Source organism: Homo sapiens, chromosome 3, assembly GCF_000001405.40.
Source record: "Homo sapiens chromosome 3, GRCh38.p14 Primary Assembly".
In the NCBI taxonomy this organism is placed as follows: Eukaryota; Metazoa; Chordata; class Mammalia; order Primates; family Hominidae; genus Homo; species Homo sapiens.
This window is the reverse complement of record NC_000003.12, coordinates 39,168,016-39,182,292: the sequence shown is the minus strand read 5'-3', so window position 1 is coordinate 39,182,292 and position 14,277 is coordinate 39,168,016. Positions and strand designations below refer to the sequence as shown.

General features: G+C 48.1%; 2 long non-coding RNA genes across 3 annotated transcripts in view, besides 1 other annotated feature; both read right to left on the bottom strand.

Annotated features, from left to right (window-relative positions):
- LOC105377035 (uncharacterized) lies at positions 772–4,544 on the bottom strand. Its single transcript, XR_940740.3, has 2 exons — positions 4,365–4,544; positions 772–1,081 (listed from the first exon to the last, which is right to left on the bottom strand). It is a non-coding gene; the product is annotated as an uncharacterized LOC105377035 (long non-coding RNA).
- Positions 996–1,405: a silencer, noted in NCBI's record as "silent region_14222". NCBI's record gives its function as "represses an Ori minimal core promoter by ATAC-STARR-seq in GM12878 lymphoblastoid cells {active_cell/tissue: GM12878}" and the evidence as "EXISTENCE:reporter gene assay evidence [ECO:0000049][PMID:35858748]".
- A 3,497-nt stretch (positions 4,545–8,041) lies between the features above and the next one.
- The window catches only part of LOC101928263 (uncharacterized), a 21,468-nt gene continuing 15,232 nt past the window's right edge, over positions 8,042–14,277 (bottom strand). For both annotated transcript variants that reach the window (XR_245209.4, XR_940735.3), the window contains exons 2-3: positions 12,220–12,356; positions 8,042–9,763 (exon numbers count right to left, since the gene is read on the bottom strand). This is a non-coding gene — a long non-coding RNA (uncharacterized LOC101928263). The remainder of the gene's footprint in view (positions 9,764–12,219; positions 12,357–14,277) is intronic.

Sequence of the window (14,277 nt, the reverse complement as noted above, 5' to 3'; positions counted from 1 at the left end):
GGTTTCCTGGATACCCAGGCTTTTGAAACTAGGTTTGCCTCACACCAAGTTTATGTGGAAAGTCACCCACACTTTGCTTCAATGGAAGAGACAGGCCCCTAGCCTACCCCTAGCCCAGGGCCCAATCTTCCACAACCCTCACAGGCCCCTCATTGCCTGCTCAGCCAATATGGGTAGGGTTCCCTTGGGACAACACAGCTCTGATCTGGAAGGAGCCTGTGCCCTGTGGGAGACTGTGCTGTGTCAAGAATAATCAAGGTACCAAATCCACCTGCTTGAGCCTGGTACATGAATCTTGTTGATCCCCTGCCTTCTGTGGGATCTCACTTGATTACAGGGCCCAGTGGCCTATATAGCATGACGGTTCTCCTCAATGTTCTCATCTGTAAAGTGGGCACAGCTATATTACCTACTATTGTGAAGATTAAGTGAATTAACCCATTTATGCCTGAGGTCGCAATTTTTTGAATTTTTGTAATCAGACCTTGGCAATGACCTTGAGCAGTCGCATAAATAACTCCCACATGCTTAGCGTTCCAATAATGGAACACTAGGCAGTATAAAGTGCTTGAAGCTATGCCTGGCATCTGGAACTCCAAGACACTCACTTTTAGTATTATTGTAATTTTAAAAAAATATATATCTTCTTTCTTACCTCCAGGGGGGTCACTGTCTCATTCATCTTGGTACGTCTTTACCACAAGTGCCTAGAGGGCACTCCATAAATGTCAAATAAATGAATGCATAAAGAATGAAATGATTGAGTAAATCTGCCGATTCATCCAAGTAACTTTTATTGAGCACCTCATTCATGCCAGGTTCTGTTCAGAGTGCTGAGAACAGAGATGAACAAGGCAGAATTTGTGCCTCAGTTTATGGAACTTAGGTTTCAAGAGGGAAGGCAATATAGGTAGAAGCAGACAAGATAATTTTAGAGGGGAGAAATACTGTGAAGGAAATAAAAAACAAAGTCCAAGAGAAAAGGTTAGCAGTTCCTTCAACTTGGGTGGTCAGGGAAGGCATCTCAGCGGAGGTGACCCGAATGACAGAAGAGCCAGTCCGATTGGTTGGAGGTGGCGGCCTAGGGGGAAGAGTGGGGAGAGGTGACTGGGCCGGTGGTGCGCGCCGGCGGCGGCGTGCACAGAGGAGAGAAGCGGCTTCTCGGCGAGGCCCCTCCCGGTGCCCTGCACACCTGCGGCCACGCGTGCCGCCGAGGAGGGGCGGGGGCGGGCGGGGCTGAAGGCGCACCCCGCGGGAGGCGGAGCGCGTGGCGACCAGACCCCGCCCCCGGAGCCCGCAGGGCGTGTTCCCACCGGCCGTCGCCAAGGTGACGATGAGGACTAAGGGGCCGCCGAGTTCAGAACGTTCGGGCGGCGGCGGCTGTTGCTGGGAGACGCCCGGCAGGCGTGCAGCCAGGGACTGGCTCTGCACTGCAGACGCCGGGCGCCAGGACGCGCCGTCCTGGCCAGCCCTCTCGCTGAGGCTCCCTTCGGATTCCAGACGGATACAGGGTTCCTGTCCTCACCCACGTCTAGATCCTGCCCGGGACCTGCAGGACTGGGCGCCTCCTCCCTCCCTGGTGCTCTCTGTCATTGCCTCTGTGTCCGGAATTTGTCCACCAGTCCCCATCTTCACCGCCATCACCATGTCTCAGGCCACCGTCCATCCTCCCTTCCCTGGGGGATTAGGCACTGCCATAGCCTCCCCAATGGTCCTCCTCCCTTTGCCCTGTGTGTCCTTACGCTCTGTCCTCCACCAGGCAGCCAGAACTCTTACTAAGAATTGACCAGATCCAGTCACTCCTGCATAATACCCTCCACCGGCTCCCCAGCTCACTCAGTCTTAAATCCAAACTCCTCTCAGTGACCTGTAGGACCAGAATGACTTGCCTCTCTGCCTTCTTCTCCACCTTCGTTGGCCCCACTCTCCTCCTCACCCACATCACCCTAGTCACACTGTCTTTCTTGCTCTTCTCAGAACATACCAAGCTGATTTCTGCCTCCAGACCTTTGTACTTGATGAACCCTCTGGCTGAAAGTCTCTTCTCCCAGAGGGTTAGCGGTTGAGCTCCTTCTCACTCAGGTCTCAGTTCCAATGTCTCTCCAGAAAGGCCTTTCCTGATCAGTCCTCCCCCCTTCCCCCATCTAAAGAGGCCCTTATTTTCATGCTGTTTTATGTTTTCCCATATTTCCCTCTCACAATATGAAATTATCTTGCTCACTTATTCACTTGTTTCTTAGTGTTCTAGATAGTATTTCTGCATAGCAAACCACCCCAAACAGGAATTTGGACAGAGCACAGTGGGCATGGCTTGTTTCTGTGCCACAATGTTTGGGACATCAGCAGGGATGTCAACCAGAACACACATGTGTGGCCTTTCCATGTGGCCTGGGCTTCCTCACAACATGGCAATCTCTGGGTTGTCGAACTTCCTAAGTTGTAGCTCCAAAGACATGTCCCATCTAACAAGGCAGAAGCTATATCACCTCTTATGATCTAGTCTCAGAAGTCATGAAAAATCACATCTGTAACCAACATGCCGTTGGTTACAAGTGAGTCACAAGTCTGCCCAGATTGAAAGGAAGGGGGTATTGGACATCACCTTTTGGTAGGGAAGAGGCAAAATTCTAGAACATGCATACATCTTTGGAAAGTGACATCTCCACAGTCAGTCTTCCCCCCACTGAAGTAGCATCTCCATGAAGAACCACGTCTTATTTGATTTTTATTGCATCCCCAGTGCTAGAATGGTACCAGAACACATAGTAAGTGCTAGATTCGTGTTTTAGAGTGAATACATGAAGGATTATCTTTCAAGGAGTCATTCAGACCCAGCTCTTCTCCCTGTAAGTGTATTTCCTGTCCCAGCCCTTGCTTTTGGCCTGATCTGCTCTGGAGAAAGCCCAGTGTTTGTATTGGAGGGTGGGAGTCAAGCCTATTATGGGGGTGGGGATGCGCACATAAAAACAGTTATTGGGGATTAAGAAGTAGGTAGCCAATGAGTTTATGGGGCAGTTTTCTACTGAAAGGGTATTGAAAACCTAGTCTGCTTTTCCCCATTCTTTATTCTGGAAATGTCCAAGTGAGGTGGTTTTGTCCTCCAGGCCATAGTGAGCAGGAAAGTGTCCCAACTTGCAGGGTCTGGGCAAGAGGTGGCCCTGAAGCTGCCCACAAGCCTGTGAAGTTACTCGAAGTCTCCTTGCTTTGTTATTTGTGAAAGACCTTCCATTTGATCTTCCCAAAGTCCTGGTGCACATACACGTTCTCCTCCCGTCTTCCTATTTTCCAAGAGGGGTAGCAGCATCTGCCATTCACCCAAGCCAGAGAAGATAGCCCAGGCTTCTCTCTGCATTACTGCCTCATATCAGTGGGCTTCGGCTTCCCAAGTATGTCTTCCCCTTGCCCCCTGCTTCATTTCCACATTGATTTGTGAGCTCCAACATGTGACTACCATAGCAACAGCCTCCTCATTTCTCTCCCCACCACCAGTGCCACCCCCAAACCATCAGTCCTCCAATCCAGCCTTGCAGCAGTTTCTCACCACCTCTGTCGCCTTAAAATCCACACTTCTTAGGTCATTCAAGGCCCTTCCTGTGCAGCTGTTCCTGTGTTTATGGCCTCCTCCAGGAGGGGAGAATTCTATCCTCTAGGTCCTTTCATGTTCTTTCCAGGCTGTGTCACATCGCTCTGATTTTACCCAGGGCCAACTCACCCATCCGGCACAGGGGGCAACACTGCCTAGGGTCCACAATCCTTTTAGAAGCTCATGAAAATGTTTAACTCATTTTACTATCAGAAGGGAAAAACAAACTTTCAGGCCGAAGAAATTGTTTGAATATATAACATTAACATATTCGGCTTTATACCACCACAGTCGTAAAATATACTTTTAAATATTTTTTTATGGAAAAGGAGCCCATTAAGGCAAAGGTACTTAGGGCCCACAAAAATCATAATGGGGTTCTGGTTTTGGTTATGCTGTCCTTCCCCCCAGCCTGTGGCAGAGCTGCCTAGTTAGATGCCCAGCTAACTTCCGAAGAAAACTCTAGCAGAGGCTTTGCCTGGGAACCCTCAGGAACCACTCCCTGGTCCCAAATCAGGAGCTATGAGGACTGAGGTCCGTGTCCCCAACCCCCACCTGCGTCCCGGAAGGCAGGCACGGGGGTGCCCTGCTGCGGGCCAAGGGGGCGGTACTCGGGTCTCGCTGGCTGCAGCTCGCCCGCCCGCCCTGCCAGCTCCACCCGACCTAATCGGAAAAAGGAAGCTGGCCCTGAGCTGTTCTCTCTCTTCTTCCTCAAAAGCTCCGCCCACCACCCCCTTCCCACCCCCTTCCCACCCCGCGCCTCCCCAGTTACGTTTCTTACGAAAAAGTGCTGCTGAGAATTCCCAGAAAGTCCCGGATATGAAGTCACTCGCGTGAGGTCACCGAGCCTGGTTCCAAGAATCAGAAGCTTGTGGGGGAGAAAGGAAAGCGCAGAAAAAGAAGGAGCAGTGATCGGAGTTGTGGGTGCTGTCGCGGCCAGGGGCGGGAGGCGGGAGGCGGGAAGGGCCCCGCCCCCTCCCCCCTCCGCCCCCTCCCCCCCCCGCCCCCGCTAGATCGGCAGGGTCCCAGGCGTCTCCAATCAGGCCTTGGCCGGTGTGACCCCTGGAAAAGTTCCAAAGGAAACTAGGCTTCACTACCATATTAGAGAAATGCCGACTGAACACAGAAATACCGATCCTTATTGACCAAGATCAAAAAGTCTGATACTGCATGGTGTTGGAGCAGATGGGGAAACAGCAGTGTTTATCCACTGTTGTCAGGGAGAGAGAACTGGCCGGGTCTGCCAGTTTGGAGAACAACTTGGAAATATGATCAGAATTTTAAATGAGCATACCTTTTGACCTAACAATCGCACATCTAGGAACTTATCCTACTGAGAAATACAAGGATAAATGCTTAAGAGAGTTTTCAGCAGCATCATTTGAAATACTGAAGGTTAGAACCCACCTAGATGTCCATCATAGGAAACTAGTCTAAAAAATGCCATGGTACATCCGTACTCTGGAATACTATGTGCTGTGAAAAAGAATGAGGCAGCTGTTTATGAGCCAGCTCTGTGTTCCCCATTACGGTCTTTTTTGTGTATGTGTGTGACAGGGTCTTATTCTGTCTCCTGGGCTGCAGTGCAGTGGTGCAGTCATGGCTCACTTAAGTGATCCTCCCACCTCAGCCTGCCAAGTAGCTGGGACCACCGGTGCACGCCACCATGGCTGGATAATATTTTTCAATTTTTTGTAGAGATGGGGGTCTCACTATGTTGCCCAAGCAGGTCTTAAACTCCTGGGCTCAAGAGATCCACCCCCCTCAGCCTCCCAAAGTGCTGGGATTACAGGCGTGAGTCACCACACCTGGTCTGGTCATTTCTTAAAGGTATATATTCATTCAACAGACATGTTTTGAGCACCTACAAAGTGCACGGCACATTGCAGATACTGGCAATAAAACAGAGGACAAAACAGCTTATGGGGATGGGGGAAAACCAATAAAATGCATCAAGTGGTGATAAGTGCTTTGGAGGAGACTCACTCAGAGCAAGGGGTACAGAAAATGTCAGGGTTGTGCTATGTTAGATTGGGTGGTCAGGGAAGGCCTCTGGGACAAGTTGACTTGGGAGCAGAGACCAGAATGATGGGAGAGAATGTCACCTATCTGCCCGGTGTAGGGCCTAGCCTGTGCCCAGGATTTTACTTGGACATAAAGACCAGCCAGGAGGCCAGCAAAGCTGAAGAGGAGCGGGCAGGGTCACAGTGGTAGGAGGAACAGTAGTGAAAGAGAGGAGGAGGAGGGTCAGGTAGGACTTCCTAGGCTTTTGTGAGGATTTTGGCTTTCATAGCCATTGGAGGGTCTTGCACAAAGAAGTGACATGACTCGACTTAGGTTTTAAAGGATCCCTCTGGCTGCTGAGTGGAGACTACTACAGAGGGGCAAGGGTAGAATCTGAGAGCCCAGGAAGGAGGCTGCTGCAACCATGGGAGATACAGCAGGGCTGGACCAGGGTGGTAGGAGATGTCACGCAGTGATCTGCTTCCGGGTACATTCTGATAGTAGAGCTGATAGGATTTGCTGATAGCCCCAGATGTAAGTATGAGAGAAAGAGGAGTGTGTAACTATAAGCATGGAGTTATCTTTCATCAGGAGAGGGAAGCTGGTGGGAGGAGCAAGATTTTGGGGGACCGGGGTGAAGAATCAGTCTGAACTCACATGGGTTGGGAATTCAGGAGTGATGGAAACATGAGAGCTGTTTGGAATTTGTAGCAGAGAGGGTCCTAGGGAGAGACAGCTGGCACCCTGGAATTGGGAAATTTGAGGAGGGTTTAATAAAAGGAGCCTTTAGAAAAGAGTAGCAGGATGTAGAGAAACCAGGAGGGCAGTGTAGGCCCCCAGGGCTAGTAACAGTGGGGCCTTAACCATCCATAGTTCTGAAGGAGTGAGAAGAGGGAGTTGCTGGAACCTGGGGACAAAGATAGCTAAAAGATAGCTGAGTGGAGAAGACAACATCTAAACTCATGTGATTTCATCCAAGGAAGGGGATTTATCTTTTTTTTTTTTTTTTTTTTTTTTTGAGATGGAGTCTTGCTCTGTCACCCAGGCTGGGGGGGTGCAGTGGCACAATCTTGGCTCACTGCAACCTCCGCCTCCCAGGTTCAAGTGATTCTCCTGCCTCAGCCTCCCGAGTAGCTGGGATTACAGGTGTGCGCCACCACACCTGGCTAACTTTTGTATTTTTAGTAGAGACAGCATTTCACCATGTTGGCTAGGCTGGTCTCGAACTCCTGACCTCAGGTGATCCACCCGCCTTGGCCTCCCAAAGTGCTGGGATTACAGGTGTGAGTCACCACACCAGCCTGGGATTTATCTTTTAATAGACAAGTTTGTATGTTGCCAACTGACAGGAGCTGAGGCCTTTGGTGGAAAAATGCAGCCAGTCCATGGCAACCCTACAGGGAGAACAAATATCCTGACCTCACTCTCCACCCCTCCTCCAAAGGCTGTGGGAAGCCAGAGAGCAAGAGAGCCCATGGATGCAGCACATATGGGTCAGTCCCCAGCCCAGAGCAGGGAGGAGAAGGATTGCAAGCGGGTCTGGAGTGGCGCATGGAGGCCAGGGACGCAGGAGCCAGCAGTGAAGGTGATCCGCAAAGCCATAAGGCTGGAGAAGGGATCTCTTAGGAAGTGAGGCAGATAGAAAAGTGGACCCAGTTCACTGTCCTGGGGCCCTCCAATATTTAGAGATTGAGAGATAAAATAGAGCCAGGAAAGGAACCGCCAAAGGAGCAGTCAGTAAGACAGGAGAACAGAGAGCTGTGCCTGAGGCCAAGGGAAGCAAGTGTGTCTAGGAAGGGGAAGGGAGGCAGGGCTGAGATGAAGACTCCAGAGAGGTCTAGTAGGATGAGGGTGTGTGTGTCTGTAAATAATGTACATAGCATATTTCTGGAAAGCAACAAAAACTCTTTTTAAAAATTTTTATTTTTATTTTTATTTTTTTTGAGACGGAGTCTCTGTCACCCAGGCTGGAGTGCAGTGGCGTGATCTCGGCTACTGCAAGCTCTGCCTCCTGGGTTCACGCCATTCTCCTGCCTCACCCTCCCTAGTAGCTGGGACTACAGGTGCCCACCACCATGCCCAGCTAATTTTTTGTATTTTTAGTAGAGACAGGGTTTCACCGTGTTAGCCAGGATGGTCTCGATCTCCTGACCTCGTGATCCGCCCGCCTCGGCCTCCCAAATTGCTAGGATTACAGGCGTGAGCCACCGCGCCCGGCCCACAGTTTTTTTTAATCAGTTGAAAGACAGGCTTGGAAAAAAACAAACATCCCCATCAAAAAGTGGGCAAAGGACATGAACAGGCATTTTTCAAAAGAAGACAAACATGTGGCCAACAAGTATATTAAAAAAACCTCAATAGCACTGATCATTAAAGAAATGCAAACCAAAACCACAATGAGATACCATCTCACGCCAGTCAGAATGGTGATTATTAAAAGATCAAAAAATAACAGATGCTGGTGAGGTTGCGGAGAAAAGGGAATGCTTAACACTGTTGGTGGGAGTGTAAATTACTTCTGCCATTGTGGAAAGCGGTGTGCCAATTCCTCAAAGACATAAAAACAGAGGTACCATTCAACCCACCAATCCCATTACTGGGTATATATCCAAAAGAATATAAATCATTCTATCATAAAGACATATGCATGCCTATGTTCATTGCAGCACTATTCACAATAGCAAAAACGTGGAATCAACCTAAATGCCCATCAGTGACAGACAGAATAAAGAAAATGTGATACATATGCACCATGGAATACTATGCAGCCATAAAAAAGAATGAGATCATGCCCTTTGCAGGAACATGGATGAAGCTGGAGGCTATTATCCTTAGCAAACTAATGCAAGAACAGAAAACCAAATACCACATGTTCTCAGTTTGGAGTTTGAGACCAGCTAAATGATGGACATGGACACACAGAGGAGAACAGACACTGGGGCCTACTTGAGGGTGAAGGGTGGAAGGAAGGAGGGAATCAGGAAAAACAACTAGTGGATACTAAGCTTAGTACGTGGATGATGAAATAATCTGTACACCAAACCCCTGTGACACAAGGTAATAAACCTGCACATGGACTCCTGACCCTAAAATAAAAGTTAAAAAAAAAAAAAAACAAGAAAGGCAGCCTTGGGGGTAACCCTGGGATTTGAGAAAGAGAGCTGATAGAGTCTGGGATGGGCAAGGCTGAGAAGAGAATGGCTGGAAGCATCTTCTCCATGTGTCAGTCCAGCCAATGGCTTTAGGAGCAGTGACCTCTGACATCTGGTTTAAATTATGTCCTGCTATGTGCTTCATGACTTGCCCCTCACTCCACTCCTTCCAACTCAAGACTTCAAGAAAGCTTAATTCATCACATCTTAGTATCTTTTCAATAATTTTACATGTCATGCTTTAAGTATTTTCAGTCTTGTATATCAAAAATAAATCCCCCTCCTTAGATGATGTCCAAGCTTGGATGATGTCATCTTGGAAGACAGATTCCTCCTAGTTCTCTTTCTGATGAAGCTAACCCTCAGACAAGGTGTGTCTTCCTTGCAGAGCGCAGAATCCTCTGGACAGAAAGCTTTCTTTCTTTCTTTCTTTCTTTCTTTCTTTCTTTCTTTCTTTCTTTTTTCTTTCTTTCTTTCTTCTTTCTTTCTTTCTTTCTTTCTTTCTTTCTTTCTTTCTTTCTTTCTTTCTTTCTTTCTTTCTTTCTTTCTTTTCAGTTAAGAATCAGCTCCAAATTTGTGGGAATTATTTGAGGATTGTACTCTGATTCTTATCTCTATTGCAGGTCCCAAGGAGGATAGGGTCCTGGTTAAAGACTCCGGTGGAACCAGTCCCTCAGGAGCCTCAGGCCAACTTTAGGAGGCTTCTCACCAATAGATGGAGGGATGAGATTGGGGGAGGGAAGTGGTAAGAGATAGCTTTGGGAAATCTCATCCTCTCCTTTCCTAGGGCTGCTTCCTTGGGTTGGGAGTTGGGGACTCCCAGTCTGACAGACTTGAGACTTTTCTGACATGGGGGTTTTCCCAAAAGGGAAGGGCCAGCAGAGGAAAGGGAGCCATCAGCCCAGGCCATCTCCCCTCTTGGAGCCTGACTGTGGTGGGCTAAGGTCAGTCAGAGCTCCACTTTCTTCTCCATTGCTCAAACTTCTCAGTACAGCCTGTGCCTTTGAGTTTTCCCACCTCTGTCCTGATAAAAAAAAAAAGAAAAGAAAAAGAAAACTCCATGACAGCAAGGAGCTTGTGTGTATCATTTTCTGCTAATGATCAATGACTAGAATACCATCTGGCACTCAGTTGAGTACACAGGATGAATGAATGCCCAAAATGCCTTTTCCGCAGCTCAAACTACATTTCAGGAGAAACTCCCTAAACCAGCTTCTCCATCACCCACTCAGAAATCTTCCAACCATCCATTTTTAGAACCCCACACACATAGGTCCTGGGGTTGGCAGCCTCTACTCAGTGGTGTACTATAGCCTCAGAGAGGTGATTGTGCACATCTCTGCCCAATTTCACTTTCTGTGCCAGTAGCTTGAAATCAGCCATCGTGGAATAATTTACACCACAGAAATTGGAAAACACTAAAGATCATGGCTTCCCTCCTCCCTCCATCCCTGCCCCAACCCAGAGAATTGGTTGTTAATCATTTACCAGCACACTACTGCCTCCAGTCCCGTTTTGCCACTAACAAGCTCTATGATTCCATCAAGTCACTTAATTGCTCTGAGCTTCAGTTCTCTATAAGGTAGACATCCCATAATATCTACCTATAGGATTGTTGGGAGGATTAAATGTGATTATAACCCTGTAATGTGTTTAGCACACTGGCTTGTAGTAGATACTCAATACACTTTAGTATGGTTCCAGTTATCTGTTGCTGCATAACCAATTGACAAATGTAGTGGCTTCATACATTTATTTTGCTCATAAATCTATAATTTGGGCAGAACTTGATGAGAATAGCTCATAACTGGAAAGACATGAAGGCTAGAGGTGAGAATCATCTGAAACTGTGTTCACTTATGAATCTGGCAGTTGATGCTGGCTGTCAGCTGGGGCCATTGACCAGGACACCTACATGTGAGGTGTCTGCCAGGTAGCCCAGGCTTCCTCACAATATGGTGGCTGAGTTTCAAAAGCGAGTATTCCAAGAAAAAGCTAGGTAGAAGCTATATCACCATTTCTAACTTAGCCTTAGAAATCACACACTATCACTTATTTTACGTTCTATTTATTAGAAGCAAGTCACTAAGTCTGGCCCATTTTCTTTCTTTTTATTGAGACGGCGTCTCGCTCTGTCACCCAAGCTGGAGTGCAATGGCATGATCTCGGTTTACTGCAACCTCTGCCTCCAGGGTTCAAGCGATTCTCCTGCCTCAGCCTCCCAAGTAGCTGGGATTACAGGCGCGCGCCACCACGCCTGGCTAATTTTTGTATTTTTAGTAGAGACAGGGTTTCACCATGTTGGTCAGGCTGGTCTCGAACTCCTGACCTTGTGATCCACCCGCCTCAGCCTCCCAAAGTGCTAGGATTACAGGTGTGAGACACTGCGCCCAGCCACCTGGCCTGTTTTCAAGGGGAGGGATGTTAGATTCTGATTTTGATAAGAAGAGCATGTGGCCAGGCGTGGTGGCTCATGCCTGTAATCTCAGCACTTGAGGAGGCCGAGGTGGGTGGATCACTTGAGGTCAGGAGTTCAAGACCAGCCTGGGCAACATGGTGACTATCTCCACCAAAAACACAAAATGTGTCAGGCATGGTGATACACGCCTGTAATCCTGGCTACTTGGGAGGCTGAGGCAGGAGAATTGCTTGAACCTGGGAGGTGGAGGTTGCAATGAGGCAAGATTATGCCACTGCACTCTAGCCTGGCAAAAAAAAAAAAAAAAAAAGACTTAATTGCAAAAAAAAAAAAAAAAGCATGAAAGAATGTGTAGGCATGTTTTTAAACCATCACAGCCATTATTATTGTTGTTGCCTTTAGTATGCTCTAGCCTGTAGTATGGGAACTATCCCACTTCTTAGCCTATGCGCTCACCGCGGGAGGGCAGGAATGCATTCGATTCTTTAAGGTTCATCTCCTGAGCCCTCTATCATTCTGCATGTGAGCCTAGGGCCCTGCAGGATTCAGTGACTGTTATATAAATGAATTTCCTCTTGCAAGAGCTGGCCCTGGACATTTATGCTCCAGTTCCTTAGGATGACATCCCAGTTGGCCCCATAAGAACTAAGGTGAGAGCCAGGTGCAGTGGCTCACGCCGGTAATCCCAGCACTTTGGGAGGCCAAGGCGGGTGGATCATCTGAGATCAGGATTTCGAGACCAGCCTGGCCAACATGGTGAAACCTTGTCTCTACTAAAAATACAAAAATTAGCCGGGCATGGTGGCAGGTGCCTGTAGTCCCAGCTACTTGGGAGGCTGAGGCAGGAGAATCGCCTGAACCCAGGAGGTGGAGGTTGCAGTGAGCTGAGATTGTGCCACTGCAGTCCAGCCTGGGCAACAGGGTGAGAGGTGAGACTCTGTCTCAAAAAACAAACAAACAAACAAACAAACAAAACCTGAGGTGAGGGATCTGGACAGGACACAGCTAGGAGAGCGGGTGATTTTACCAGCAGGGCCATGATTCTAATAGGCCCTACTTACCTTGGGGTAGTGGATGATTGAGAGGGTAAGCTTATGGTTTAAACTCCTTCCAAAGCTTCCTCTGAAGTTGGAATGGCAAAATCATTGTCTGGAGTCAGGTCATGGGTTCATGATATAACCTCTTTCTTGGCCTTAGTCTGTCAAATGGAAATAAGAAAAGGTCCATAGGTTAGACATTTCCAATCGGTTATTTAGAAAACTAGGTTAGAAGCCAATTTCTTCTTCTGGAAATGGTTGACAGGGTCACAAGCTTCTCTCATAGGAAATAGGAAAAGATGAAGCACAGAGAAAAATGCCTTGTTCTGTGGGACATGAATCCATCTCAGTTTCTTTTTCTTTTTCTTCTTCTTCTTCTTCTTCTTTTTTTTTTTTTTTTTTTTTTTTTTTTGAGACAGAGTTTCACTCTTGTTGTCCAGGCTGGAGTGCAGTGGCGCAATCTCGGCTCACTACAACCTCTGCCTCCTGGGTTCAAGCAATTCTCCTGCCTCAACCTACCGAGTAGCTGGGATTACAGGCATGCCCCACCATGCCCGGTTAATTTTTGTATATTTAGTAGAGACAAGGTCTCACCACGTTGGCCGGGCTGGTCTCGAACTTCTGACCTCAGGCGATTCACCCTCCTTGGCCTCCCAAAGTGCTGGGATTATAAGTGTGAGCCACCACGCCCAGCCCCCTCTCAGTTTCTTTGAGATCCACAGAGCCAGGGTCTAATCCCAGAGAGAAACGAGTGTGTACACAGATGATCTCCTACTTACTATGGTTCTATTTACAATTTTTGTACTTCACTATAGTGTGAAAGCTATACACATTTAGTAGAAACCGTACTTCAAGTACCCATACAACTATTCTATTTTTCACTTTTAGTATTTAATAAATTACAGGACATATGCAACACTTTATTGTAAGATAGTCTTAAAAGTGTTAGATGATTTTGCCCAGCTGTAGGCTAGTATAAATGTTCTGAACACATTTAAAGTAGGAGAGGCTAAGCTATGTTGTTTAGTAGGTTAGGTGTATTAAATGCATTTTTGACTAATGATATTTTCAATTTATGATGGGTTTATCAGGACTTAACTCCATCATAAGCCGAAGAGATCTCTGTGTGGGATGTTTGTGTGGGGACTTCTTTAGGAAAGATCCAGGAAGGAACAGACCAGAAAACCCTTCATTTCAATGGTGAGGGCAGGAGCGGAAGGAGAAAAACACAAGAGCTGGGAAAGCGAGGTGAGAGGGGTTCAGGGGAGAGAGGAGGTACAGAGTGGTCAGGCCCAGCCCTTCACTGGCTGGAGACCCCTTCCAGCCTTAGCTTCCTCTTCTCTTATTCCCCTCCTGCCCCAGCTTATGCCAGGAGCTCCCTGTCCTCAGTGGATCTTCCAGGTAAGTCTAAGAAGGGCTGAGGCCCCTGTGTGTCTTGCCTGGTTGGGGGAGTTCAGGTTACACCTCCAAGGCAGCCCCCAAGGGCATCAGGACATCAGTCTATGCTGGTTCCATAGAAACACCAGGGCCGCTGGGTCTGTCCCTCACCATAGAGTAACCCTAGGCACTTCAGGGCCCCGACTCTGGGCCACAGTCCGCTCATTGATGAAATGAGCAGAGTTGTCTAGAATAGTTTTTCCTAAAATGTGTTCCATGAATCTCAGAGCCGGCAGGGATATTTCAAAGAAAAAACTGCCTCGAGCTCATTTCCCTCAGAAGCAAACCCAGAGACAAAGATTTGAGTGTTTCACTTGGATCCCAGGAAGCACTCATGGAAAGAAAGGAAGATGGGCAGGGAAGGGAAGGAAACCAACACAGGGTGTGTTGATGAGTAAATTACCAGGGTGGGCAGCTGCAGCTCAATCTCCCTGGGACCTCTGGGATGCTGTCTGGAACACCCCTCAGTGTCTACCCTAACCCATTGTCAGCTAAGGGCTGTATTCAGGGGCATGTCCAGCCTGCCCTGTGTGCCTGTGGAGCATAGTCCTGTGACCAGAAACATCACTCAGGCAGAGAGTCACCTGTGTTTGCAGTGAGAAACCATCAGGAGGTGTGAGAACTATGAAGGCCAAGGGGATACAA